Here is a 26,075-nt window from a genome sequence, read left to right as displayed (position 1 = left end):
TGTTACCCAGGCTGGAGTGCAGTGATGCGATCTCAGCTCACTGCAACCTCTGCCTCCCAGGTTCAAACGATTCTCCCACCTCAGCTTCCCACCACGCCTACCACGCCTGGCTAATTTTTTAATTTTTTATATAATCTTTTTTCTTTTTTTTTTTTTGAGATGGAGTCTCACTCTGTCACTCAGGCTGGAGTGCAATGGCGTGATCTCGGCTTACTGCAACCTCTGCCTCCTGGGTTCAAGCGATTCTCCTGCCTCAGCCCCCCAAAGTAGCTGGGATTACAGGCGCACACACCACCACACCAATTTTTGTATTTTTGGTAGAGACGGGCTTTGGCCATATTGGCCAGGCTGGTCTTGAACTCCTGACCTCAGGTGATCCACCCACCTCGGCTTCCCAAAGTGCTGGGATTATAGGTGTGAGCCACTGCATTTGGCCAATTTTTTGTATTTTTTAAGCACAGACGGGGTTTCACCACGTTGGCCAGGCTGGCTCGAACTCCTGGCCTCAAGTGATCCCTTCACCTCCGTCTGCCAAAGTGCTTGGATTACTGGTGTGAGCCACCACACCCGGCCAACACCAGCAATTTCTATCATTAGTAGGAGCAATGATACTAACAGACTGGCTTACAGGACCGAATTTTAAAGTAATCCCCATAGGCTTCAGTGCATTTCAAGGCCAGGTACGTGCCATTCTAAACAACAAGGGCAGCAACTGGGCCAAATGGAAAGAGTGTGGGTTGATGGGACTCACTTTCACACTTGATTCTATGTACCATCTTGCATTTACCTATACTTGATCCTGTGTTTTCAGGGATCTATCACAACCCCACTGTGATAAAGGATGAAAGGATGGAGAACACAGATATGGGATGGTTTGTATTAGGTTGGTGCAAAAGTAACTGACATTACTTTCAATGGCAAAAACTGCAATTACTTTTGCTCCAACCTACTATGTCTTGAAAGCATTGGGGAGAACCCAGGGTTGCCAAATTGCATGAGTTCAGGAAGCTTCATTCCTTCAGGAAGTTTCCTCTAGGGGGCACCACTCACAGAGCTCCGCACTATGACCCCATCCTGGAGTTGGGCCATCCGGTAGCCGTCCCAACCCATAGGCTACTGTGCAAGAGCTGAGAAGCCTGCCTGAGAAAACAAACTTCCTGCATCAGAGCACCAGAAAGCCAAACACTTGATCTCTAACACCTGTGTTCACTGTGAGAAAATTTACAACGAGAAGAGAAAGGGCAGCCACATAGACATTTCTGGATCGATTTCTTTAAAAGTCATCCCTTTCGTGGCCATCAAGGAGTCCCAAGACTCCCTCTAAGTTTTCTCTAATATCTGTTAAATCCTTTCCAAAAAAGAAAAAAAAAAACCCATCAGAATTATCTAGGCCTCAGCATGCTCCTTCCCTTCTAATTCTTGGCAGTACTATAAGACAGGCATTATAAGGGAACGATTAAGAAAACAGATGTAACCATTAGGCACCATACAATTCTAGAGGATTAATAATGTTAACTTTTGCAACACATAGGTGGTTTTTTGGTGTTTGTTCTTATAATGTCCTATTTACATCACATATTTAAACTTGAGAGCATATTAGAATGAGTTGGGTACAACCTCCTTTTGTTTCTTCACTCTCACAGCTGTTTGAATGCCTGCTTGTGTGAGGCACTGTGCTAAATGCGGCGGGGGGTAAAATGGTGAGGACAAAGCAAAGGAGTCTGTGCTCTCCTGGAGCCCAGAGTCTAGCGTGGTTTAGTTTGGGCTTCCTCACAACATGGTGGCTTTCAAGCAGACGGACTCCAAAAGCAAGATTCCCAGCGAACAAGGAGAAAGCTGCATGGCCTTTTATGACCTCATCTCAGAAGTCACACATCATTCTACTGGTTACGAGTGAGTCCTTGATCCACTGAGATCCAAGAGGATGAGACAAAGTCCCCATATCTCAATGAAAGATCGTCAAGGTCACACTGAAGAAGACCATGTGGGATGGGAGAGAGACATAGTGGTCACATTTGAGAAAGGCCATCTGACAGATGGGAGAAGCTGAAAGGGCTGCAGTAAGCAAATACACTTTGGACGAAAATTTTTCTTAAGATCTATCTTTAGTACACAGATTTCTATGAATTAGCTCCAGTTATATTTATTTTCAACCTTGTCATTACAGAAGTAACATATTTCAAAACACTTGACAGTTTACAAAGTACTCTTAATTGATCATCATAATAAGCCTGCTAATTATTAGGACAAAATATTATCACCCACACTGTTTAGACAAGAAAACTAAGACCCAAATTCTCATAGCCAAAAAAGGAGCATGTTCAGGATCTGAGTCCAGAATTAACTGTTCTTTCTACAGAAACAAACCATCTATTGAAACATGCCATGGCAATGAAAAATCACAATTTATGGTCTGATGGTCTTTGTATCCTTTTTAGGATATAAAGCATTTGAATGGTCTATGGCTTTGAGTGTTAGCTTCATCATTTATATGAGAATATGAAACAGCCATTGTTGTAAATAGCATCCATTATGGACTGAACATAAAGACTATTTCCAAATTGCTTCCAACATTTTTTGTCCTATCTCTGCAAATAATTAAGGGTTAGCAACTTTAAAATTAATTCTAGTAGAAGAGCTATGCATCTGGCTTAATGGGCACAATAAATCAATCCCATGAGATAAAATCTATTTTAAGAACTCTTCTGAAAAGGTGCTATTTCAAAGAAGGCATTGTATTATTTTCTCTCTCTTTGGAGCAGCAGTCCAAGCTCTCATATTCCAACCTCTGAGCAACTTTTAGCATCAACTGTGAACATGTTAGAAGTACAAAAAAGCATAATCTCAGGCCCCATATTCCAGGTCTACTGCCATGAATTGAATGGTGGCTCCCTAAAAGATACCTCTATGTCCTTATCCCTGGAACCTGTGCATGAATCTTATTTGGAAAATAAGTGGGGGTGTGTCTTTGCAGATGTAATGAAGAATCTCAAGATGAGATGAGACCATCCTGGATTATCTAGGAAGGTCCTAAATCCAATAGCAAATGTCTTTGTAACAGAAAGGCAGAGGGACATTTGAGAAAGAGAAGAGGAGGAGGCCACGTAAAAACAAAGGCAGAGATGAAAATGATGCAGCTGAGGCCATGGAATCCCTGGAGCCACCAGGAGCTGGAAGAGGCAAGGAAGGATCCTCCCCTGGAGCCTTTAAAGGGAGCATGCCTTGGCAACACCTTGATTTTGGCTTCTGGCTTCCAGAAGCTAGAGAATAAGTTTCTGTTGCTTTAAACATCAACATTACAGTGATTTGTTATGGCAGCCCTAGGAAATTAATATACCTAACTGAGTTAGAAACCAGGGTAGTACGCCTAGCAATGAGTACTTAAACAAATCCTCCTGGGGATTCTGCTGTACACTCAAGCTTCGGATACACTGGTCTAGAGTAATTGAATTGTGGCTGGCTGAAGACATGGGTATTTTTTCCCCAGGACAGCAGAAGCCTCCCCTGCACCTGCAAATAGACCAGTGCAGGCATTGAACATCTGGGGCAAGACTAGCGTCTCCCAGCAGGTAAGTAAATTGTTCCAGGTCAGTTCTCTATAGCTTTCTCTCTGGGGGATTTCTTCATTTATAACAAATGTTTCTTTAGCTCTATGAATATGGACAGGGCAAACTGCCAGGCACTGCAGTTACAAGTAGGACAAAGATTAGATTCTTGCCATCAAGAGTTCTGCCAAGTCCTGGGAGAAACAGGACAAGGAGATACAGAGATAAACAACTCCATCTTTACTTTCACATAGGCATAATGTCTTTGAAACACACTCCGATAACTTATCAAATAAGCAACTCTTCAAGCTACAAATGTATCTCTAACTCAATTCCTCCTAAGTATTGGGGTGATATCAGATCAACACCAGCACGCTCTCCTTGCTAAAATACACGATGCTGTTTTCCAGTGAATAATGCGTCTTTCTTCTCTCCCCCATGCTCATCTTCCTTACAGATTAGTCTGCATATCAAGAACAACTAGACCTTATAAAAGTCACAACAGAGCAGAGGGATGGTCACCTGTAAATGCACACTTTCTAGTATTTTCTCAAATTAGAGCATCTGAGGGTATCTTCAGAGAAATCAAATGCACCAAGACAAAGTGAGAACATACCTTGGCTTCCATAGCTGGAAGGGTTGAACTTCTTGACTGGTTTAAATTCAGTATAATGGTGGTGGTGGTTTGTCTTAGATTAAGAGGGTGTATCCCCTCATAATCAAAGTGAGAAATGTACTACTGTGACCCTCAAAGGCCTTGGGGAAACACAACTTGGTGAGAGAGGTGTGTCCCCAAAGAAGGAGGGGTTGCCCACGGCCGAGGAGGGACATGCTGGGGAGTGGGGGTAAGGGGGCGGCGGTGAGATCAGGAAAGCCAGGAGAAAGGGCCAGAGCGAGGACATAGATCACAGCTGCAGGCTTTTTAGCCAAGGCTGCTTGGCTTCCCAATTCTGCACCACCACTAGTAGCTGTGTAACCATGGGCAAGTTATCTGATTTCATAGAGCCTCAGCTTCCTCAACTGGAACCTGGGACAATGATAGAAGCTACCTGAAAGGGTCATTGTGAGAATTAAAAATGTGAAACCATGAAAAATGCTACTGACAAAGTCTGGTAACACATGTTTTGTGTCTCCCAGTCTCCCCCTACTCCTGCTCCTCCCCTAATGTTCCTATCATCATCATCATCATCATCATTTGTGATGAATCTCATATCCTTGCAGCCCCAGGCTTTAAATCTGATTCTCCTCCTTCAATTACTGCTTATCTTCAGAAAAGCCATGCACCTCACGAACGTCACCTGTCAGTGGCCACCCTACCTTCATCTTGCTGGTGGGTGAGGATGAGAGAGTTCAGGTAAAGCCAACATAGAGCTTAACCCTTCAGGGACATAAAATTTAAAGTACCACCATAATTCAAAATAAGGTCATTATGATACAAAAAAGAGGAGAAGGGTTTTAAAGGAAGGAGGTCAGCCAGGCAACAGAGAGGAAAGAGGGACTCCTGGCTGCCTTCCAAATCTCCTGGAAGTGAGAGGATAGAATTACATGACACATGGCATATAAAGATCATTAATTCACTTTGCTTACTCAATAGCTGATCATTGACATTCCTGTGCCAGACACAGTGTTTTATCATACTCTGAACAATCCTACGAGGTAGAGAATGGATTACCCCCATTTTATAGCTCACAAAACTGATGTTCAACAAGGTGAAACACAATAGCAAAGGCACGGAATCAACCTAAGTGCCCATCAACGATAGACTGGATAAACAAATTCTGGTATGTATACACCACGGAATACTATGCAGCCATAAAAAGGAATAAGATCATGTCCTTTGCAGAGACATGGACAGAACTGGAGGCCATTATCCTTAGCAAACTAACACAGGAACAGAAAACCAAATACCACATGTTCCCACTCATAGTGGGAGCTAAATGATGAGAACACGTGGACATATAGAGGGGAACAACACACACCAGGAGGGTGGAGGATGGGAGGAGGGAGAGGATCAGGAAAAATAACTACTGAATATTAGGCTTAATGTGTGGGTGATGAGATAATCTCTACAACAACTCCCCTTGACACACGTTTACCTATGTAACAAACCTACACATCCTGTGCATGTACTCCTCAACTTAAAAGTTAAAAAAAAGAACGGAAAGGTGAAATAACTTCCCATGGTCACAAAGAAATTAATTAGAATTCAGGTTTCAGCCGCCTTCAGTTTCAACCACTATGTGATATCTACCCTGTGGTGACCACCGGCTGGCTGTAGCCTGCTATCACTACTGACCTACATCTATATTCTACCACCTTTGAGCAATGACCAGGCTGAAGGAAAACTTCAACACTTCAATGTCAACCCTTCAATGTGGGAGGGTTGGGGAGAGCCTCTTCTGGAAGAGTAATAGTTGTACCTTGCACTCCTGGCCTCCAGGAGGTCAAACCTAGTAGCTGGAAGAAGAAGCCACTTTGAAAGGAGGTAACTTCTTGGTATCAAACCTTCCAGACATCACTGATGGAAATGACAGGATGACCACTGGCAAACAGGACCTCCCAGAAGAACTCGGATGTCTAATTGATGATCACTAGGAGCCTTGAGTATTTGATCTTCCTTGACTTTTTTTTTTTTTGAGACAGAGTCTCACTCTGTCTCCCAGGCTAGAGTGCAGTGGCACAGTCTTGGCTCACTGCAACCTCCGCCTCCTAGGTTCCAGTGATTCTCCTGCCTCAGCCTCCCAAGTAGCTGGGATTACAGGCACATGCCACCACACCCAGCTATTTTTTTTTTTTTTTTTTGAGATGGAGTCTCGCTCTGTCGTCCAGGCTGGAGTGCAATGGCACGATCTTGGCTCACTGCAACCTCTGCCTCCTGGGTTCAGGCAATTCTCTTGTCTCAGGCTCCCAAGTACCTGGGATTACAGGTGCCCACCACCATGCCCAGCAAATTTTTGCATTTTTAGTAGAGACGGGATTTCACCATGTTGGCCAGGCTGGTTTCAAACACCTGACCACAGGTGATCCGCCTGTCTTGGCCTCCCAGAGTGTTGGGATTACAGGCATGAGCCACTGTGCCTGGCCCTTCCTTGACTTTTCTTTCTCTTGAACCACACACACCATCCATCAGCAAATCAGTCAGCCCTTTCAAACCCCTGCGGATACTAACCATTTCTCATCCCTCCATTGCTACCAGTCTGGCTCAATCCACCTATGTAACTGTCCCACCCTCCTCAATGGCTGCCTTGCTTTTGTTCTCATCCACTTTGATCTCTTCCAGACACTAGCAAGGGAGGTCCTATAAAATGCAAGTCAGGTCATGTCACGCTTCTGCTCAAAACCTTGGCGGCTCACCATTCCTTGTGAGTAAACGCTGGGTTCTTTACTACGCCTGCACAGTTGGATGTGATCTGCTCCCCCTGCTTCTGCTCCCCTTCTCACTTTATTTCATCCATCCCACATCCTTACAATTCCTCCAGTACACCACACGTGTGCCTGCCTCAGGGACTTTGCATGTGCTGTTGCCTCTGTCTGGCCTGCTGTACCTCCAGTTATCCACGTGGCTCACTCTCTCGCCTCTTTCAGGCTGTGTTCAAATATTGCTTTCCCAGACAAGCAGCTTTCCTTGAGCACGCAATTGAAAACCGCACCCCTGCCACTCTCACTTCAGTACTGTTCACTCTTTTTTGTTTTTTTTTTTTAAAACTTTTAGGTTCAGGGGTACATGTGCAGTTTTGCTATATAGGTAAACTTGTGTCATGGGGGTTTCATGTACAGATTATTTCCTCACCAAAGTGCTAAGCCTAGTAACCAATAGTTATTTTTTTCTGCTCCTCTCCCTCCTCCCAACCTCCACCCTCAAGTAGGACCCAGTGTTCATTGTTGCCTTCTGTGTCCATGTGTTCTCATCATTTAGCTCCCACTTACGAGAACAGGCGGTATTTGGATTTCTGTTCCTGCCTTAGTTTGCTAAGGATAATGACCTCCAGGTCCATCCATGTTCCTGCACAGGACATGATCTTGTTCTTTTTTATGGCTGCATAGTATTCTATGTTCCTCTTCATGCTTGCTTCTCTCTACAGTTCTCATTGCCTAATGTATTCTATGTTTACTGTGTGTCTCCCTCCACTAGGGGGTGAACATGTACTCCCTGAGGCCAGAAGCCTGGCATTGCTTGTTAAATGAATGAATGAATAAATGCATACATTGTGGGCTGAGCCTGGTTCCTTGACCAGGGGATTCATTCATTGAATGAATGATTCAATTCAATGAATGAATGATTCAACTGAATTGAATGAATGATTGATTCGATTAAATTCATTCATTCTTTCAGTAGAGCCATAATTGCAATAACATATATGTCTATGTCTCCTCCGCACAAAACTGTGGGCTGGGGATTGGTGGCTTAGCAGCTGCCCTGGTTCCTGGCAGCCATGGCACGTCAGTAAAGATGAACTTTGTTTCTGAGTCACTGGACTCGGGCAGCAGATTGTGACAGAAATTCTGGGCTGGCTTCTCCTCACATCTCTAGGGAAAGGATCATTTTAGCTCTCTCCTGAGCCAGTCATCCATCATCATAAACAAGCATGTATGCTCAGAAATGTCCCTCTGCAGTAACTGCACGTTCCCACAGCCCTTCCTGGAGGCAAGAACAATATTCCCACGAGAATGCTTCCTTTCCCACACCATAAAAACCAGTGCAGAGCCAAATGCCTCTGCCCACCCAAAGGTGGCATTTCCATGGGCACCCCTTGGCATCAGTTTAGCACCAGCTCTGGGTGACATGGTCTCACGGAATAGCACCAGATGTATCCTTGGGGACACTTTATCTAGATATTGGTGACACTTTGTTTTTGCTTTAAATAGTATTTATCTATGTATTTATTCTGGCAGGGAACTGTCTCTGGCCCTTGAAAGGGCTATTGGCAGGTCTGAATTCCCAGGCCTGGGCACCCACACCCCATCACCCTCCATCTATGCCCTCCCCTGGGCCTCTCCCCTCCCAACTTCCTTCCAGCTCTTCACCTCTCTCCTCCAGCCTCTTGCCTGACCCAGATTCCCAACATTCTTCAGGGGCGGCTCAGGCCCACCTCCTTCTAGAAGCTACCTCCATCCTCCACCGAGATTTTCCTTTTTCTATTTCCTACATAATTTAAAGATGGCACCGCATAATTTAGCGTGTAATTACAGAAGCTCTGACACTGTGATTCTGCCTCGTGCGCTGGTTCTGTCTTTGAAGCTGACTGTACTCCCAGCGTCTTTTCTTGTTTTATATCACGACTTAGGGCTTGGTCTTGGGAAGACGTGGTCCCAGATGAGGGCTTGGAACTGCTCAGAGAGAACCGTCAGTACCTTCTGTGTGCACACCTAAGACAGGTGGAATATTCATTCGTGTGATGTTCTTACTGTGAGTGGTCACAAAGAAACAGTTTTGGAACTCTATCAGGGGAGTCATTACGATGATAATTGAGGTTCTAGAATCTAATTATTTCTCTAAAATCCATGAAATAGCACTCAGAATCTTAGCTCATTGCTGTGAAGCACTTATTAGTGATAATTTTAGGAACAATCATAAATAATATACAATATAAGTTATATATAATAGCCAGCATTCATTTAGTACTTACAGCTCGTGAGGCACGGCGCTAAGGAGGCTTTAAGATTGGAGCTGTTATTTAACCTCCTCCATGCACCCATATCACAGATGAGGAAACTGAGGTTTGGGGGTTGTGGGCTTGCCCAGGGCCACGAAGCTATGAGGCAGTGGGGCCAGGATGGGAATTCAGGCTACCGAAGTCATTCAAGGCAGGGTTAACAGAAGATCAGTGTGTATAGGGGTGTGCTTTCGAAGTGCGAGGGGGCGATTTTTGAGTGTCACAATAATCGGGGGTGTTACTGGCATTTAGTGGGAGGTGACAATTAGGTGTTAGACACCCCGCGATGCATGGAGCTCCTGACTACATAGAGTTGCCCCACATACATTTCGAATGACCCTGATAAACAGTCTTTGGGTGGGGGAGAAAAAAAATCTTGTTTATCTGAGTCTAGAACCCAACTCGATTTTACACTCAAACCCCAAATATTTTCGTACAGATGAACATATTCCACACATCACCACAATGCAGACCCTGTGTCAAAAGAGGTGATCTTGTTTTTTGTTTGGTTCAGAATCTCACCAATTCTGGAAAATTGCCTAACCAATGGCAATACTGAATGTCACTTGGGTGACAATGCAAAACAGACCTGTGTTCGTCTGCATGGCAGCTGATGCAATGTGTTGGTGGTGACCCTGTGTGAGGATACTCTGGCGGGACCACTTCATTATGTTTTCCAGGGGGGTTGCGCCAGAGTATTTGCATTTGCATATTTACCTAGACCTCCTATTCTAAATTAGTTGTTCCTTTATAGTATAATTGGGGCTTACTATTATCATTATTTTAAATGTGTGGCTGGCACGGTGGCTCATGCCTGTAATCCCAGCACTTTGGGAGGCTGAGGCGGGCGGATCACGAGGTCGGGAGTTCGAGACCAGCCGGGCCAACATGGTGAAACCCCGTCTCTACGAAAAATACAAAAATTAGCTGGGTGTGGTGGTAGGCACCTGTAATCCCAGCTACTCGGGAGGCTGAGGCAGGAGAATCATTTGAACCCGGGAGGCAGAGGTTGCAGTAAGCCAAGATCATGTTATTGCAGTCCATCCTGGGCGACGGGTAAGACGCTGTCTCAAAAAAAAAAAAAAGTGTGTAGGCAGGTTAACATCTTATGAATGTCACAGAAGGATACTAAAGAGCATCTTGGCAGATACTTATTGGCCTCTCAGGACCCCCTGGGCAGCAGATGGTGAAGGAGGTTAGAGGCAGCAGAGGTCACTCGGGCCTGAGTCATTGGAACCCATTTGTTCAACCCACCAGTAGATACTGTTCGTTGTACTTTGTATGGTTTGAATCAGCAATTAAATCCTCTGAAAGCTAAGACAAGCAATCCCAAGCACAGGAAGCTGGCCTGCTAAGAGCCAGGCCTCTGCTGAGCCTGACATCAAAGAGGTCAGCTCCAGTGGATTTGACTGGCCTCTGCTCAGTGTCAGGGGGTGACAGCAAATCTTCCCCTGAGTTGAGGCTCTTCCTTCTCCTGCTTCAGCTACCTCGGCTGAATAAATATTTTTATTTAATTAAAAAATTAAACAGCAATGTGAGTGATTCTGATGCATGTCTAAGGTTGAACTGAGCACCGTGAATTGAGTTTTCTTAACTTCCCTGAGCACTAGAATCCATGGAGACAATCTGATCTCGGGCCATGGCTGTTGGGGTGGGGAGACAGTGGGATCAGCAGGACTCCTGGCTTGGAGGCATATTCTTGTTGATAATAGAAACAGCAGTTCCTGTTGATAGTAGGATCACTGTGGGAATGATAATCCCTAATCACATCTCAAAATCACACATTATCTTTAGGCAAGTTAAAAGTCCCTGTGGTTGTTCTCATGGAAAAAAAAAAAAGTATTTGTAAATAGAAATGGGATACTGTGTCCAATAAGGTTAAGATCTACTGCTCCAGGGCCCCGGGACTTAACCATACATGGTTCCACCTCCATAGTATCTACGTAAATTATGGCATATGCAGGGTTCTGTTCAGTGATGCTGCATGCTGAGACCACTGCCCACAGGCCATACTAGGAAAGCAGATACTGCTCTGAGCACTGGTACCTCTGAGCCACAGACCCCATAATGTATGCATTCAAAGCTGTATGAAGGGGCTTCGATGAAATTGAGTGTTTCTGAGTTCCTCAGCTCCAAACTCAGGGTCTGAAGATTTTCTGGGGTGCTCCATGTTTCTTGTATTACCACTGATTTACACATGGCCCAGGACTCAAAGAGATGTGCATTTTTTTTTCTGGGAAAATTACAAGGGTAGCTAAGGCCCCAGCTGCAAGCCTAGGACAGAAGCTCCTTCCAACCAAGTTGACTTTCTTATCACTGAATGACTATAAATAAACAGCCGAGCTCAGATCCCATTAGTTAAAGCGTTGGAGAGACTCCCAGCTTTGATGTTATCAGACCCTGTCTGCATGCAGATGCACAGGGCAATGTTCTTCGTAGATTTAAGGGCCAACTCTTCTGCTGCTGCTGAATGATCTAGGACACCTTTCCTCTCAAACTCAGACTCACCTGGCAAAGTGGAACCACTTCAGATTCCCAGGCCCCAAACTCTGAAAACTTTAATTCATTGGAGTTTGAGGGGAGTCTTGGAAAATGCATTAAAGAGAATAAACAAAGGCACCCCAGGACAGAGCAACAAGCTATGTGACACCATAAGGAAGTGACCAGATAAGTCTAAAAGGTGGGACTATCTGCAGAATAAATGGTCCAGTCCATCAATAAGGCAGCATTATGTGGAGAATAAAATAAAGGGATTGAGGAGGAGAAGAATGTGCTTGTTTATAAAAAACATAAAGGATGGAATAACCAGATCCATCTGGATTGGCTCCTAGTTTAGACAGAACAATTCACTGTAAATTGGAATTCGGGGTCAAATGGGAAAATTATTCTTATAGAAAGATAGAGATTGTTAACTGAGAAAATCAGATTTGAAAATAACGTTATGGTACGATCTCATTTTGGTAAAAAATATACACACACAAACACCTAAAAAAATGCTTATACACTAAAACGTTAAGATACGCTAAAATAACAACTATGGCAATTTTATAGTTTTATATTTTGCATATCTGACTTTTTAAAATTCTTACAATAATGTGATTTTTGTAAATTATGTTTCTTTAATTAAAAAATGAAAAGCAATCTGAGTGATTCTGATGCATACCCGTTTGAGAACTAAGTCTTCAAGCCAAGTCTTTTTAATTGACCATTGTCTTAGAATCACTGGGGCACATGTTAAGCCTGTGGATTCTCAGAGCCCTTCCCTGTCGGCTCTGACTGGTTTTAGGGTGGTGCCTGGGAATGGGTTTTTCACAAGCGCCCTGGTCATTCCTATCATCAGCCAAGTTTGAAAATTGTGCTTTAGACCAACGCTTCTCCCACCTTATGAGCACACAGATCACCTGTGGATCTTATTAAACGGCAGATTCTGATTCAGTAGGTCTGGGCTGAGCTTTAGATTCTGAATTTCTAAGAAGCACCCAGGTGAGGCTAATGTAGCTGTATCCATGGCCATCCTGGGGAGCAAGTATGGAGAGGGTGGTGGAGAGATAGAAGGGGACTCTCAGCATACCACACACACCTGCTGTGCCCTTGGAAATATATGGCTTTACAATGGAGACAATCTGGATGGGGTACACCAACGCAGGGCCTAAAGTGGCCATGCAGAGATTGGTAAATCAGCATCATGGGAAGAGTGCAAGGCAATAGGGTGTGGTGAGGACTGTAGCTGCCATGATCCAAACAGGCAGCTGCTCCTCAGCTCCTGCCCATGGTGCCACCTCCAAACACTTGTCCAATATCATCAAATCTCGTTGATCAAAAAAAGCCAGAAATGTGATTTTTTTGAGACAGGATCTTACTGTTGGCCAAGCTGGAGTGCAGTGGTACAATCACGACTCAAAGTAGCCTCGACTTTCTGGGCCCAAGCGATCCTCCCACCTCAGCCTCCCAAGTAGTTGGGACTACAGGCATTACCACCATGCCTGGCTAACATTTTTTTTTTTTTTTTTTTCCAGAGAGAGGGTTATTCCATGTTGCCCAGGCTGGTCTCCAACTCCTGGACTTAAGCCTGCTTTTGCCTCCCAAAGTGCTGAGATCACAGCCATAAGCCACCATGCCTAGCCCAGAAATGTGATTCTTAAATATTATAAAACACTGCACAGTCCAAACAACAATAAAAAACCTGCCAGCCAAGTACAGCCTCAGGGTGTCAATGCCGGATTCTTGGTCTCTGTCAGAGTAGGTGTCATGTCTAGGAGGTCTTTTACCCCAGTCCTGATAACTGAAACCCAATGAGTCTATAAGACAAAGGTTAACCAAAGGTAATTCTTGCCAACAGAGAAAGTAAAAACCCAGCACTACAGAAATTCTTGAATACTCAAGTCCTTTGTGTTAAAATGAGCATAATGAAAATTAACTCAAACTAGCACTTGGACATGCTGTGTAAACACTGCAAACCAAGGCAAAGAAAGAGACAGCAAGGGGAAAGTGCCAGGGGGACTGCTGTAGGAGCCAGTGGCATCCTAAGATGGTCACATATTAAGAGCCTCTTCTCACTGGTCCCCATTGTCCACTTCGCCATTCATAAGGCAGACATTCTCAACCATGTCCAAGACTTGCCCTGAGCTAAACTTCTAGAGATTTGCAAGAAAAACTTATCAAAGCAACACAAGAAGATAATTTTGTAGCTCTTAATGAATCCCATTTACATTTTTTCAGCTCTTTGATTTCTGAGCACTATTTAAGGGAGGAGGTTTGTTCAGTTCATTTACTTTAAATTTTTAACTGTCCAGGATGACAATCCTCTGTGTATAATTTCCCTCCTGTGCCCAAATCGATGAAACACACCCAAGAGCTAATATCCATTTTGAGCTCCACTGAGGCCCAATACCTTCTGGAATCACAGTGACTTGGAAAATAGTAAACAACTAGAAGTGAGCCGAAACCTGCTGCAGGCAATTAGTTCTCAGTGGAGAATAAGAACTTTCCAGTTCACATCTTAAGCCTTCTTCCTGCAGAAGAAAGAACAGCCCTTAAGTTGAGGAATGCTAGGGAGGATCAAATATGGCATCTCAAGTGAGCATAAGAATGGGTACCTTGCCTCCTCCTCCTCCTTCTCACATATACTATTCTTGGATAAGTTCCTGGGGCAGACATTGTAACTTGGTTGACCTAACACTCATTTCTGGCCCCTGTTTTCCTCCCCTGCCTCTATAATAGAGTCTATGAACACAAGTATTTAATTTTCCAAACTTCCCTTGTCACTAAGGATGGGCATATAACACAATTCTGGCTAAGAAAATGTAGGCGAAAGTCTCTTGCAGCAGGGAGCTAAAGATGATGTTTCAGGGAAACTTTGGCTTTCTAGATGCAATGGAAAAGGTGGGGTGGACCTTACTTCTTCCCCTTATCTCTTCCTTAAATACAGAAGTGATGACTAGAGCAGAGGCAGCTGTCTTGCAGAAAAGGCTAAGAGAATCACAGTGGGGACACCCCTGACATCATCATGATGTTGAATCAATACCAGCAGCCAACAAACATCCCCCAAACTGTTTAAGCCACCATGGTTAGATTTTCTTATACTTGCAGTCAAAACTAATTGTATGATGGAAAATTCCTCATCAAGTTAAATGAAGATACAACCTCTTACCTTAAATGAAGTGACCACAACTAGCAAGGGTAGCACATTTCACTGTAGCTTACCTGCCTCCTAGAGTCCTCAAGTAGGGTGGGTAATACTATCCGGGTATAGGTGGAACTGAAAAATCCCACTTATTTTGAACCAACACCTCTTTTATATATGGCTTTTAGTATCATCCTAGAAGAGCATACATCAAAAATATAGTTGCTTCCATTTAAGGCAGTTTTTACTATCAAGTCTCAGCTTGAGCCATGGGAAGAAAGCTGGGTCAGTGACCAGGTGTCTCTAATAATAGCGCTGCCCCCAACATTCCAGCATCCTGGGACGCCTATCCCTTTGTGGCCAATGTCCTGATGCTGGTTTTGTCTGGTGGATTCTGATGCTGGATTCGGTCAAGAGATCGTGGCCACACATCTTTTCTCCATGTGGCTCTGGGCTGGTTAATTCTTGTCATAGTGAAGATTTCCATGGGATTCTGAATTCAGCACCATTTCAAATACAACAGCAGCTCATGTTTCCTCAACAGCGACATGTTTCTAACTACTTAATCCACACAACCCTATGAGGTTGGTACTGTTGTTTACTCTATTTTCAGATGAGGAAACTGAGATGGAGAACATTGAAGTGTTTGTCCAAGCACCCATAGCTACAAATGGAGATGCTGGTTCTAGAATATAGGGCTGGCTATGGTCATAGTTCATATTCCACAGCACTATGATAAACTACATTGTGATAACCACCCAAAGTAGCTTCAGATGGGATCAGACCCAGGTGAGAGAGCAGTCAGTACATTGGCCTGTCAGTTTTTTCTTTCATTTTCTCAGCCCCAAAAGGAGATAGTGGGACATGCCGGGAATCTTTAGAATTCACCAAAGATTCCATTTGGTGAATGTGAGGAGGTTCCCATATATTCTCCAGCCTCTCCTGTAGTTATGCTGGGGCCACATGACTAGTATTGGTCACTGGACTGAAAACAGATGTGATGAGTTTCATTCTTGGGCTGAGCAAAGAGCTGAATGTCACCTCAATCCCTTTTCCCATGCCATAGGTGACCATAGAGACCCCATGTTCTAGAGTAACTACAAGATGAAGGAGCCCTATTTGCATTAGACATTTTGTTATAAATAAGTTATTTTAATTTATTAAGACACTGAGATTATGGGATTTTCTTGTTACTACAGCATAGCTGAGCTTACTCTGACTATTAAGATGGGCCTCTGAAAAGTGATCAGGCCACCTTGCCTATAGCAATCTTGCAAAGAAAGAAATTATAATCTGGAAGCTACTCTGCTGGGAGATTCATTTATCACTGGGGTTATTCTGCATCCAAATCATAATATGCCTTAGCTGCCTAATGAGGCATACAGTTTCTTAGAATTAACATGAAGATCTTACTTGCCTTACAAAAACTGGTACTATTTAATGGAAACAATGATTCTCTCTCATTGACTACTACCTCCAGCTGATGCCTCTAAAGAATTTTATACTTTGGTCCCTTACTTTTATAGGATGAAATGTTTGCAAAAAATATATATGTCTAAGCATCCGCATGCTAATGCATGCAATTTCATGACCCATTACATTTTCCATACAAATGTAGAGACAGTAGGGGCCACCTGTGCTGGGAGCTGGCTGCTGTTTGCCAACCATCTTTGTTTGAAAGAGGGCCAGGAGAGCTTATTTGAGATAAAAATATACATTGGTGCCTTAAAATACTTACTGAGCATATACTATGTACAAAATACTTTCCTAGAAGTTGGACATACCATGTTACACACGACAACTCATGAGACTTGTATATAATAGATGGAAATGACTTTGGAAAGGACAGGTGGATTTATCTGAGAGTACTTAAAGAATCCAAAAGCCAAGCGCATGCCTGAAGAGTGAGACAGGAAAGATTCATCATTAGTCCACATTGATCCACATGAGGCCTTTTGCCATGTGGCCCTGCACACCTGTCTAGCCTCCTCTTCACCACTCTCCCCTCTCCATACCCTCGGATCCCATGCTGCTGACCCACATGCAAGTGCCAGAGTGACCAGGCTCTCTTCCTCCATGCCTTTGGCAGAACCATTCCTTCTGCTCGTGTTCCCACAGGGTGTTAACCTTGCTGATGCTTCTATGCCCTTGGGGCAGCTCAAGGTGTTGATTCCTGCAGAAAGCCTCTTTGCATTACCTCTTGTAATAAGCCTCTTGGCTTAACCCTTGACCCTATTGTTCTGTCCATAAATTCGCCTCGGTAGTCTATTTCCTTCTTTCACTGGCCTGGGGGACTTGGAGGGAAGAAAGGAAGGACCAGTGCCTGCTGGTAGCCTGGGATATGGGGCTCTGGGAAGTCAGGCAGAGGTGGCAGTCAGCAGAGATGGCTGGCATGGTTGAGAGGCTGGTTACATCATGTGATTTCATCAAATCAATTAGTAGATATATTGAGAATAATAATAGGTTTCTCACTGTTGCAGAAGGTATTGATAAACACGAAAGGTAGGAGGGCTAGAAAAACCCTTAGATATTAGATTGGAATTGGAGATATCAGTTTGAACTTGTGTTTTAAATTTAATGTATGAACAATGCAGAGAGATACAGTAGTTGTAGACATATGTGCAAGCATGTATAAATGAGTACATATAGATGTACCCATGTGTATATATGTGTACACCCATATATATGTACGTATATTTGTGTGGATGTATATGTGTATGTATATGTGTGTGTCTGTATCATTGCTCTGTCTGCTGAAAGGACCTAGCAGCAGTGACACTCCAGCAGCCACAACCTCACCAAATACCCAGACACTGATTTCTAAAGACCACCCTCCATGAAAAGAAACCAAGGTTCCTTGAGGAAGTCACTCAATCCAGGGTTGGGCAGGAAGGTACAACATGAGTTCAGAATATCTCATTGTATAAGAAAGTAAGCAGTAAAAATAAATGAGGAATTATCAAAAGCCCCAGGCTCCCCCTGGCCAAATATGACACAATTTAAGCACAGCATTAAAAAAGAAAGACAGCAACAGAAAACAACCCAAAGAATTAAAACCACATGAGTCCATTCTGATATAAAAAATAAATGAATGAATATACTAATGGGAGAAGAGGAAACAGTCTTCCTTGCAGTAGAATGCCAACCATAAATGTACAAGGAGCCATGGAAAAAGGAAATCACTCCACACCATCAGGGCAGATGCTCAGCTAAGAACTGGCAGGTGAGTCAAGGCTTGTGAGTTGAGGTCTCATGAGAGCAGCATATCACAAGATCGATGATCTGGAATATCTTGCTGCAAATTTGATTATAAAGGGGAAAATGGTGACTTTTTTGGGGGGAAACCTGAGGATGTTGACATGACCAGGTGAAAGAGGCTAACATTCCTGAGCCTTGGGCAGGGTTGGTTGTGTGTGCCCCAGCAGGTGGAACACTGATAACATGGCATCATTTCTGTGGTTTTTCTCCCCAGAACGTATGACCTGAAACTGGTCCCGAGGAAACATCAGATGGACCACGTTGAGCATCACACTGCAGAATGTAGGGCTGCATTCTTCCAAACTGTTGGGACGATGAAAGTCAGGGAAAGACTGAGGAAATGCTCCAAACTGGGGCAGACTGCAAAGATGTGACAATTAAATGCAATGTGTAACTCGGGGTTTCTGCACTTTAGCTCTTTCAAGATTTTTGACTGGATAATTCTTGGGGTCTGTCTTGCACACTGCACGGTGTCTGGCATCATCTCTGGTGTCTAAGCCCTAGATGTCAATACCAATTCCCACTTGTGTGATCAAATGTCTCCAGACATTACCAAATGTACCATGGGTGGGGTCAGAGGGGAGTGCAAAGTCAGCTCCAGATGAGAACCATTGGTGTAACTGGATGGAATCCTGGGCCAGATATGAAAAAGAGACATCACTAGGACAGCTGGACAGATCTGAGGTTAATGAAGATTTCTCACTGTTGCAGAAGGTATTTTTAAGAAGGGAAAGGTAGGAGGGCTAGAAAAACCCTGAACGGGGTGTGGAGATTGGACATTGCATCAATGTATTGATGCACTGGGTTTTGTTTCAGTGCTCATTTCTTGACTTGTGGGTTTGCATGGTGGTTATGCAGGAGGGTGTACTTGGGGAGGCAGATATGATGGAGCACTGAGGGTTGAAGGGACATCACATAGATACATACATAGGGAGATAGAGTGTACGCAGTGAAATGTGAATAGCTGGGGATCAGCATGAGGGGGTATGGAAGTTCTTTGTTCTGTTCGTGCAACTTTTCTGTACATTTAAAATAACCCCAGAATAAAATATTTCCATTAATTTACCTGATTAAATTGTACTTGTGGATTTATTTGCACAACCAATTAAGGATGATGGTGGAAATGGTGGAGATGCAGATGATGCTAGTATTGGTCAATGTTCATTTTTGTCTTCATTATGTGCCAGGCAGCAAGCTAAGTACTTTATGGCTATTAGTCAGTGCTGTCCTCAAATCATCCCTATGGTGGAGGAATTAGTATCCTTCTACTATAGATGAAGAAACAGAAGTTCTGAGAAGGTAGGTGACTTACTCACAACCACACAATAAGTAGCTGGTAGAGTTGGGGTGGAAGCCCATTCACATTGGATTATGGGACCCATGCTCTAAGCCGTTAGGTCATAAGGGAGACTTTTTCGTCGTTCCTGTGTCCACAGAGGTGGAGGATGAACTAGGCCCTCGGTAAGTGAGGGAAGGAGTGCACAGGCAGAGCTCTGCACAGAATGACAGCAAGGTGCACAAGTCATCCATATGATTTTATACTTGTGAATTCAAGTATAAGGAGCAACTTGTTAGACTTCAGTCTGTCTCTAAAAGCCAAATATAGGGTGGCAATGGCTGCATTCAGTTGAAAAATACCCTGGATCTAGTAAAGGAAGGAAGGTGTTTATCCTCTTGGTACTTTTTTTTTTTTAATCCCTAATTTCAGGCATGTGCAGCTTTGGTTTGGAATGATTTGACTCAGATAGACAAGTGGTGGGTTTAGGTGAGCTTTTTTAGGTGAGAGTGGTTGGAATTATAGAGGTGATATGGGAGAAGGTGATGTGAAGGGTAATTGCTGCTTAATAATTGGGAAGAGAAAGTCTGTAAAGAGCTTATCATTTAATGTGTTCAAGACTTGAGATCCAGAAGAACTGCATCCCAGGGCTTTGAGGGTTCTTGCTGATGCGATCTCGGTGCTAAAAAATCATGAACATGGATAGGGAACGCACAACACTGAAAGTCACTGTTGGCTTAAGTCAGAGAGGTTTGGAACTCTTAATGCACAGGCAGGAGAAGCCAGATGTCAGAAATCCAGGAAGACATGAAGGGGCAGGGAAAGGGGGAGTCCACGATTTCTGGGAAAATTTCAGGCAGTTAGGAACTGGTGGAGGCTAAAGAGATGTGCTCACTCCAGATGGCAAGGAGGGAACATCAACTTTAGAAATTAGAAAAAGGTACATTTGCTAAAATGTGAAAAAAGCAAGCAACTATTAAATAGGTAGTTGTTACCATCTATTGAGGACACAATGAAATAATAAGCATGAAGTACTTAGCATGTTTCCTGGAACAAGAAAGCAATAATTGCAGAATTTATTAAAACTTTAAGATCAATAAAACCATGTATTTTAAATGGATAGGAACATAGTTATTTAATTATAGAAACATAGACAAGAAGGTTATATACTAACTCTAAGAGAGTGCCTTCCTCTGAGAAGGGAGGGAGGGCAGTGAGGATGAGGGCATTTTTGTGGCAGGGCTGCTAGTTACTTCCTAATATACACTCTTCTCTTTTTCCTTAATTAAAGGAAAAAAAAAAAAAAACCTTGGGTAATGTGCCCTAATGAAACATGATATTCTCTATCCCCCTTGCAGTTACATGGCCATGTGATGAATTCTGGCCCATGAGCTGTAAGCAGAGGTAATTTTGGGAAGGGAGGGTACTGTTGGTCTAGAATATGGAGGTGAAGGCTGGAGCTCCAATCAGCCACCTTGAGCCATGAAGTGGCCTGGAGGGCAGAATCTACGTGCTGAGAATGGTAGAATTTTGTCCCAAATGACGTCTCCAGACTGCCCTATACAGACCTCTGAATGTCTTTTATGTGATAAAAAGAAATGTCTCACTCTTGAGATTTTTTTTTCTTTTACATGCAGCTAAGTCTAATCCTAAATTAGGTAGGTAGATAGAAAGGTTTCACGTGTATCTGTCACGTCTTTTATCTTCAAATAAAAAATAGCTGGGAGCAAAAATAGAATGAATGGGCTGACAGTCAGCAACCAATGATGGTTACCTTCCTTCTTCAGTTTCATATTTTGGGAATTTTAAGAAAACACAGAAAAGCACAAAGAACAATAGTATGAAAATCAGCACACCCACCATCTGGAATTGCCAACTGGTAACACTTTGTCACATTTGCTTTGTCTTTATTTTATTAAAAGAAATAAAATATTACAGATAAAGCTTAAGATCTTTGATCCGTCATATCCTGTTCTATGACTTTCAACCTTTTTACCAATGACAACCACTCTCATCCTCACGCAAGAATACCAATGTCCATTTTGAATCATCTTAGGCATATATTTGTTTCTGAGAATAATATGGTATATTTTATGTATATGTTTATTAATTGTTTAAAAATTGTATTATATGGAATATGCCCTAAAATTGGCTTCCTTGTTCTGGGACAGTCTCTCTCTCTCTCTCTCTCTCTCTCTCTATATATATATATATATATACACACACACATATATAATACATATATCTATATACACACACATATAATCTTTATAGAAATTATTGGGTTATATATTTATATAATATTTCGTTCATTCCTTTGAATGGCAGTTTTATATTTATTTTTAAAGTTTTTATTAGCCATTCACCCATTGATACACATTTATGCAATTTACAACGTAGTGGTTTTCAAACAATGCAGTAATGAACAACTGTGTGTCTCCTTGTGCACAGATGTGAGCTGGTTTTCTTCTTCAAGTCTGTTGTTGTGTAACTGATAAACCAGGAGCCTGGCAAATATATAGTATCATGATTTCAGGAAGGCCTGTGAAAACCTTCTCATGATCAAGTTGTGCATACCATGGGAAAACGTGGGCTGAGTGATCAAACTCTTAGGTAAATATATAACTGGTTGATCAACCTCACCAAAACACTGTATGGTTGCCTTTTAGGCAAAGGTAAACATAAATATATAATTCTATTCTATTCAATAACCTTACCATCCATCCATCCACTCATCCGTCTCTCCACCCATCCATCCATCCAATGTTCTGGAGTGACTTTGTACCATAGGCCATGGAAGACACCGGACGTAGAAGAGTCAACAGCACCCAGGACAGTTCTTGACTCAAGCTTCGTATCTAATATTTTTTAGTTGACACTTGAGGGAGAGGTAGTCAGTGCCCTTCTAAACCATATACAGTTGTTATTACTTTGGTGAAGATGCAGAATGCATGCTTATGAGATTTTGAATATTTTAAAAAGGCTAAGAATAATTGCCAACAAACCAGGTTGAAGACAAAAGACATTGTATTCTTCCCATGGGGTAAAGCTAATTAAAATAAAAATCATGGGTAAATATGACATCAAGGATAAGCATATGTTATACACACACGTGTGTGTGTGTGTGTGTGTATATATATATATATAGATGCATGTGTATATACAATTTCTAAACTGGAGAAACCTATCTTGGAAATAATTATAAGAAATATGCACTTAAGTTTCTGGTGGACCACAAGTTTAGCATGAGACAATGGTGTGAGCTTAGAAGGCTAAGAACACTAGCTGAATCCTATGATGATTTTAGGGTGTTTGTAAAATCTTTCTGGTAATGGTCACGACAGTTCTACTGTTTAATAATATGTGTTACCTACAAGTCTGGGAATTATCTACAGCATTTTTATAACAAACTACAGTCATCCCAATTTAAAGAGGAAGAAACTAAGGCTCAGAGCAGTCAAGTATCTTGCCTAAGGTCATGCAAATATGATAATAAGAAACAGAGATCCAGTCCAGCAATAACTGGATCATATCAGAGTCTTAATCACTCCACTGTGCTGCATTTGCTTCTGGGCCATGTACACAGACTCACAGTTGCATCCCACCTGAAGGTATGGCCAATCCAACTGAAGGGGACCCCTTTATTGGAGATATGAGACAAAATAACAGTCACATATATTATCGTTGCAGACAACTAGAACATAATAATGTCCCGATGAGAGCTGATACTGTTAAAAACTCATGGTCAAGGGATGTGTTTTTCTCAGGGCACCTCTCCAAGAAGTCCCTCTCCGCTGAACAGGAGGCCACATGTGAGCTAGAAAGGTCAGGTGTAAGTTACAGCTCTCCCACTCCTAGTCTGTGTGTTTCAGGGCAAGGCATCAAGATTCTCAGTTGTTGTTTTGTCATCTATGTGGCATCTATATCAATAGTTGTTTCAGGATGAGACCGAAAGCACTTGCACAGCATCTACCATAGAGCAAAGGCTGGATAAATCGTAGTGATGATGGTGATGCTGCTTCTGCAAGGTGTGCTCTTAGGAAGCAAATGCCTGGCTTTTTCAAAGCCACCATGCATGGTAGCGGGTCCAAAGGGTACTGAGAGCAGCCTGCCCTCCTCTTGCTCAGCTCTCTGGAAGAAGGGATATATTTGTTTTACATGCAAATTCATCTTCTACTCATTAAGCCAAGACCTCAATGGTCTGCTTCTTTCCAGAGGGGTACTTTCTCAGAACTTATCTGCTTGAAGGGGACACCTTTTTCTAATTTTTGCAAAGTACCTTATTGGTTAGCTGTGTGTTATGGTCTTTCTACCAGATAACACCAGAACAAAGACCAATCTCACTTCTCTTGCCTTTGTCTTTGCTCTGATCTATTCTATTGACTCCCAAAACATGGGTTTCTGGTTACAGTTCTCAAGAAATGGCATAAGTGTGGGAGTCATTATCAGGCAGAAGAAATGGAAGCTCACTGGTTGGAGCCTTGCAAAGTGTCTCCTGCTTTTCAATTCAATGACTTTTGCTTTATTTTTACATTTATGGCCTGTGGTTGCATGTTAGAAAATTTGTCACCACCAATGGGCACATTAAAGGATGAGTGAAATAATACTACTATGGGAAAACTGACAGACCCTGTGACTGACAATAAAGCTCACCCAAGAGTTTGACAGTCCCATCAAAGAGGAAACCCCAGGAGGAAGGGAAACTATAACCTAAATCTATAATTTATATCCACATAGAGAGATAGCCTTTGAGATGTGGCAAGAAGAGGAAGAGATGGACCAGGCTTTTTAGGAACTGGGGGCTGGGTGTGGGCCAGATGTGTGGTTTAACCTTTTGTCTTATATTTGTTAAAAACTTCAGTGGTGCTTGCCATTGGCTGATAACATAAACCCCTCCCTCCTTTTTATGTTTAATTCAGTTCTTATTCTGGTTATTTAGTGCTGTAGAATGAAAACATCTAAACATTTTGTCACTTTTATCGTGTTTATGATTTTGTGGGTTAGGGATTCAGGAAGGACTCAGCTGGGTGGTACATCTCAGATTCTCATGAGGTCAGCCAGGGTTGGAGAGTCTAATTCTGATATAGCTCCTTTATTCCCATGAATAGTGCTTCACTCCTCCTTGACCTCTCTGTTCATACAGTATGTCATCCTTCAAGGCCCTTTCATATAGCTTGAGCATCTCCACACAGGGCAGTCTCCAGGTAGCCAAACTTCTTATGTGGTGCTGGCTTCTATCAGAGTGAACGTTGCAAGAGACAGTAAATTAAATCAACCCATTTCTTAAGGCCTGGATCAAAGAAGTGGCAGAGTGTCACTTCTACATATTGTATTGGTCAAATCAATGTCCCCTCCTCACCTAGAATCAAGGGGAGGGGACAAGATGCTCAAAGATTTCTGGCCCTTTGTAATGTATCAGAAACCCCCAAGTCCATCTTTTGTACCTCCTAACTCTCTCTAGAGTATGCATGTCTCATGCTCACCATCTCTACCACAACCACCTGAGACCAAGCCCTTGTCATCATGCTAGCATCTCACCGAGTTAGATGTTCCTCTCTCCTACCCATTCTCCAAAGCCAGAATAATTTTTTTCTAATGAAAATGTGTCCATGTCGTTTTTACTCAAAACTCATCAAGAGCTGTCACTTTGACATCTTTGCATACTAGCTATCTATTTATTTCTGTCCTGCGTCTGTTCTCCTTGCTCTTGATATCAGCATTCTCCTTTTCCCTTAAGCGACCACCATTCTTTCACTCTTAGTCCTTGAAGTTGAGGAAGGGCTGGTATCACCTTTCCCCCATACCTGGCTCTAGGTGTAGGCACAAGCCCCTTTGAGTCTTCCACATCTGTGCATACAGAGACTAATTCAGGGATGGGCACATGACTTAAACTGGGCCAACAGAGGCATACCTAAAACTTTAAAGGGAGTTACATGGGAACAATACTTTTATGAAGGGCGAGGGGCAGCTTCATTTGCTAAAATAGTAGGGAAAATGCCAGGTGGCCATTTTTGTTTGCTATCACCTGGGGAAAGCTATCCCAGAGAAAAGCAGAGCCAAGGAATAAGTAAGAAAGATTCTTCACAATACAGTTGGAACACCTAGATACTGCTATCCCTAAAGCTCCTCTTGGTCCTTTAAATAAATGAGCTGATGCAATTTTTTTTCCCTGCTTAAACTCACCCTAATAGTCCTAATGCATACACTCTGCATGACGTCTGCCTCTCTCCAACACCTGTATCATGGCCTTTCCAGCCCTTTCTACTCCCTGCCATCCCCATAGCCTACCCTCAAGTCACATCTCCTCTACCTGTATTCCCAGATCAAGCCTTACTCTTTCAGGTCTTTGTATACAGGTTCATTCTTCCTGCAACAAGCTTCTCATGCTATCCAGAAGGGGTTCCCTCAAGACTCAGATTACCAATCACTTTCTGCCTGGGAGCCTTCTAGATCTTTTGCCTTCTCCCTAGCCTCACCCCATCAGCTTACTTTGCTCTCAGTGTTTTCCTGGGATATTTACCCATCTCTCTTCTAGGACTTAACACAGTTTGCTAAATATACAACATACAAGCCTGTTTTTACCATGCCACCCTCAGCTCCATTAAAGATCTGATTTTGTCTTACTTATCTTCAAGTTCCCAGAGTCCTCCAACATATTTCTCTGCACACAACAGATACTCATAAGATGTCAGCAGAATGAGTACAATTTTTAATCTACA

The 26,075-nt window shown here is 42.8% G+C and overlaps 1 protein-coding gene and 1 long non-coding RNA gene across 8 annotated transcripts in view; one reads left to right on the top strand and one right to left on the bottom strand.

The window, feature by feature from the left end:
• Positions 1–26,075, bottom strand: part of CDH13 (cadherin 13) — a 1,173,672-nt gene that overhangs the window by 399,146 nt on the left and 748,451 nt on the right. The gene's annotated exons all lie outside the window — the stretch shown is intronic.
• On the top strand, positions 1,986–18,371 carry CDH13-AS1 (CDH13 antisense RNA 1). 2 transcript variants are annotated; one of them, XR_007065144.1, is made up of 3 exons: positions 1,986–2,060; positions 3,488–3,569; positions 18,295–18,371. It is a non-coding gene; the product is annotated as a CDH13 antisense RNA 1 (long non-coding RNA). The 2 variants fall into 2 exon arrangements; XR_007065145.1 differs by lacking the exon at positions 18,295–18,371 and adding an exon at positions 4,003–4,085.

Source organism: Homo sapiens, chromosome 16 (assembly GCF_000001405.40).
Source record: "Homo sapiens chromosome 16, GRCh38.p14 Primary Assembly".
Taxonomy (NCBI): Eukaryota; Metazoa; Chordata; class Mammalia; order Primates; family Hominidae; genus Homo; species Homo sapiens.
This window is presented reverse-complemented; position numbering and strand designations above follow the sequence as displayed.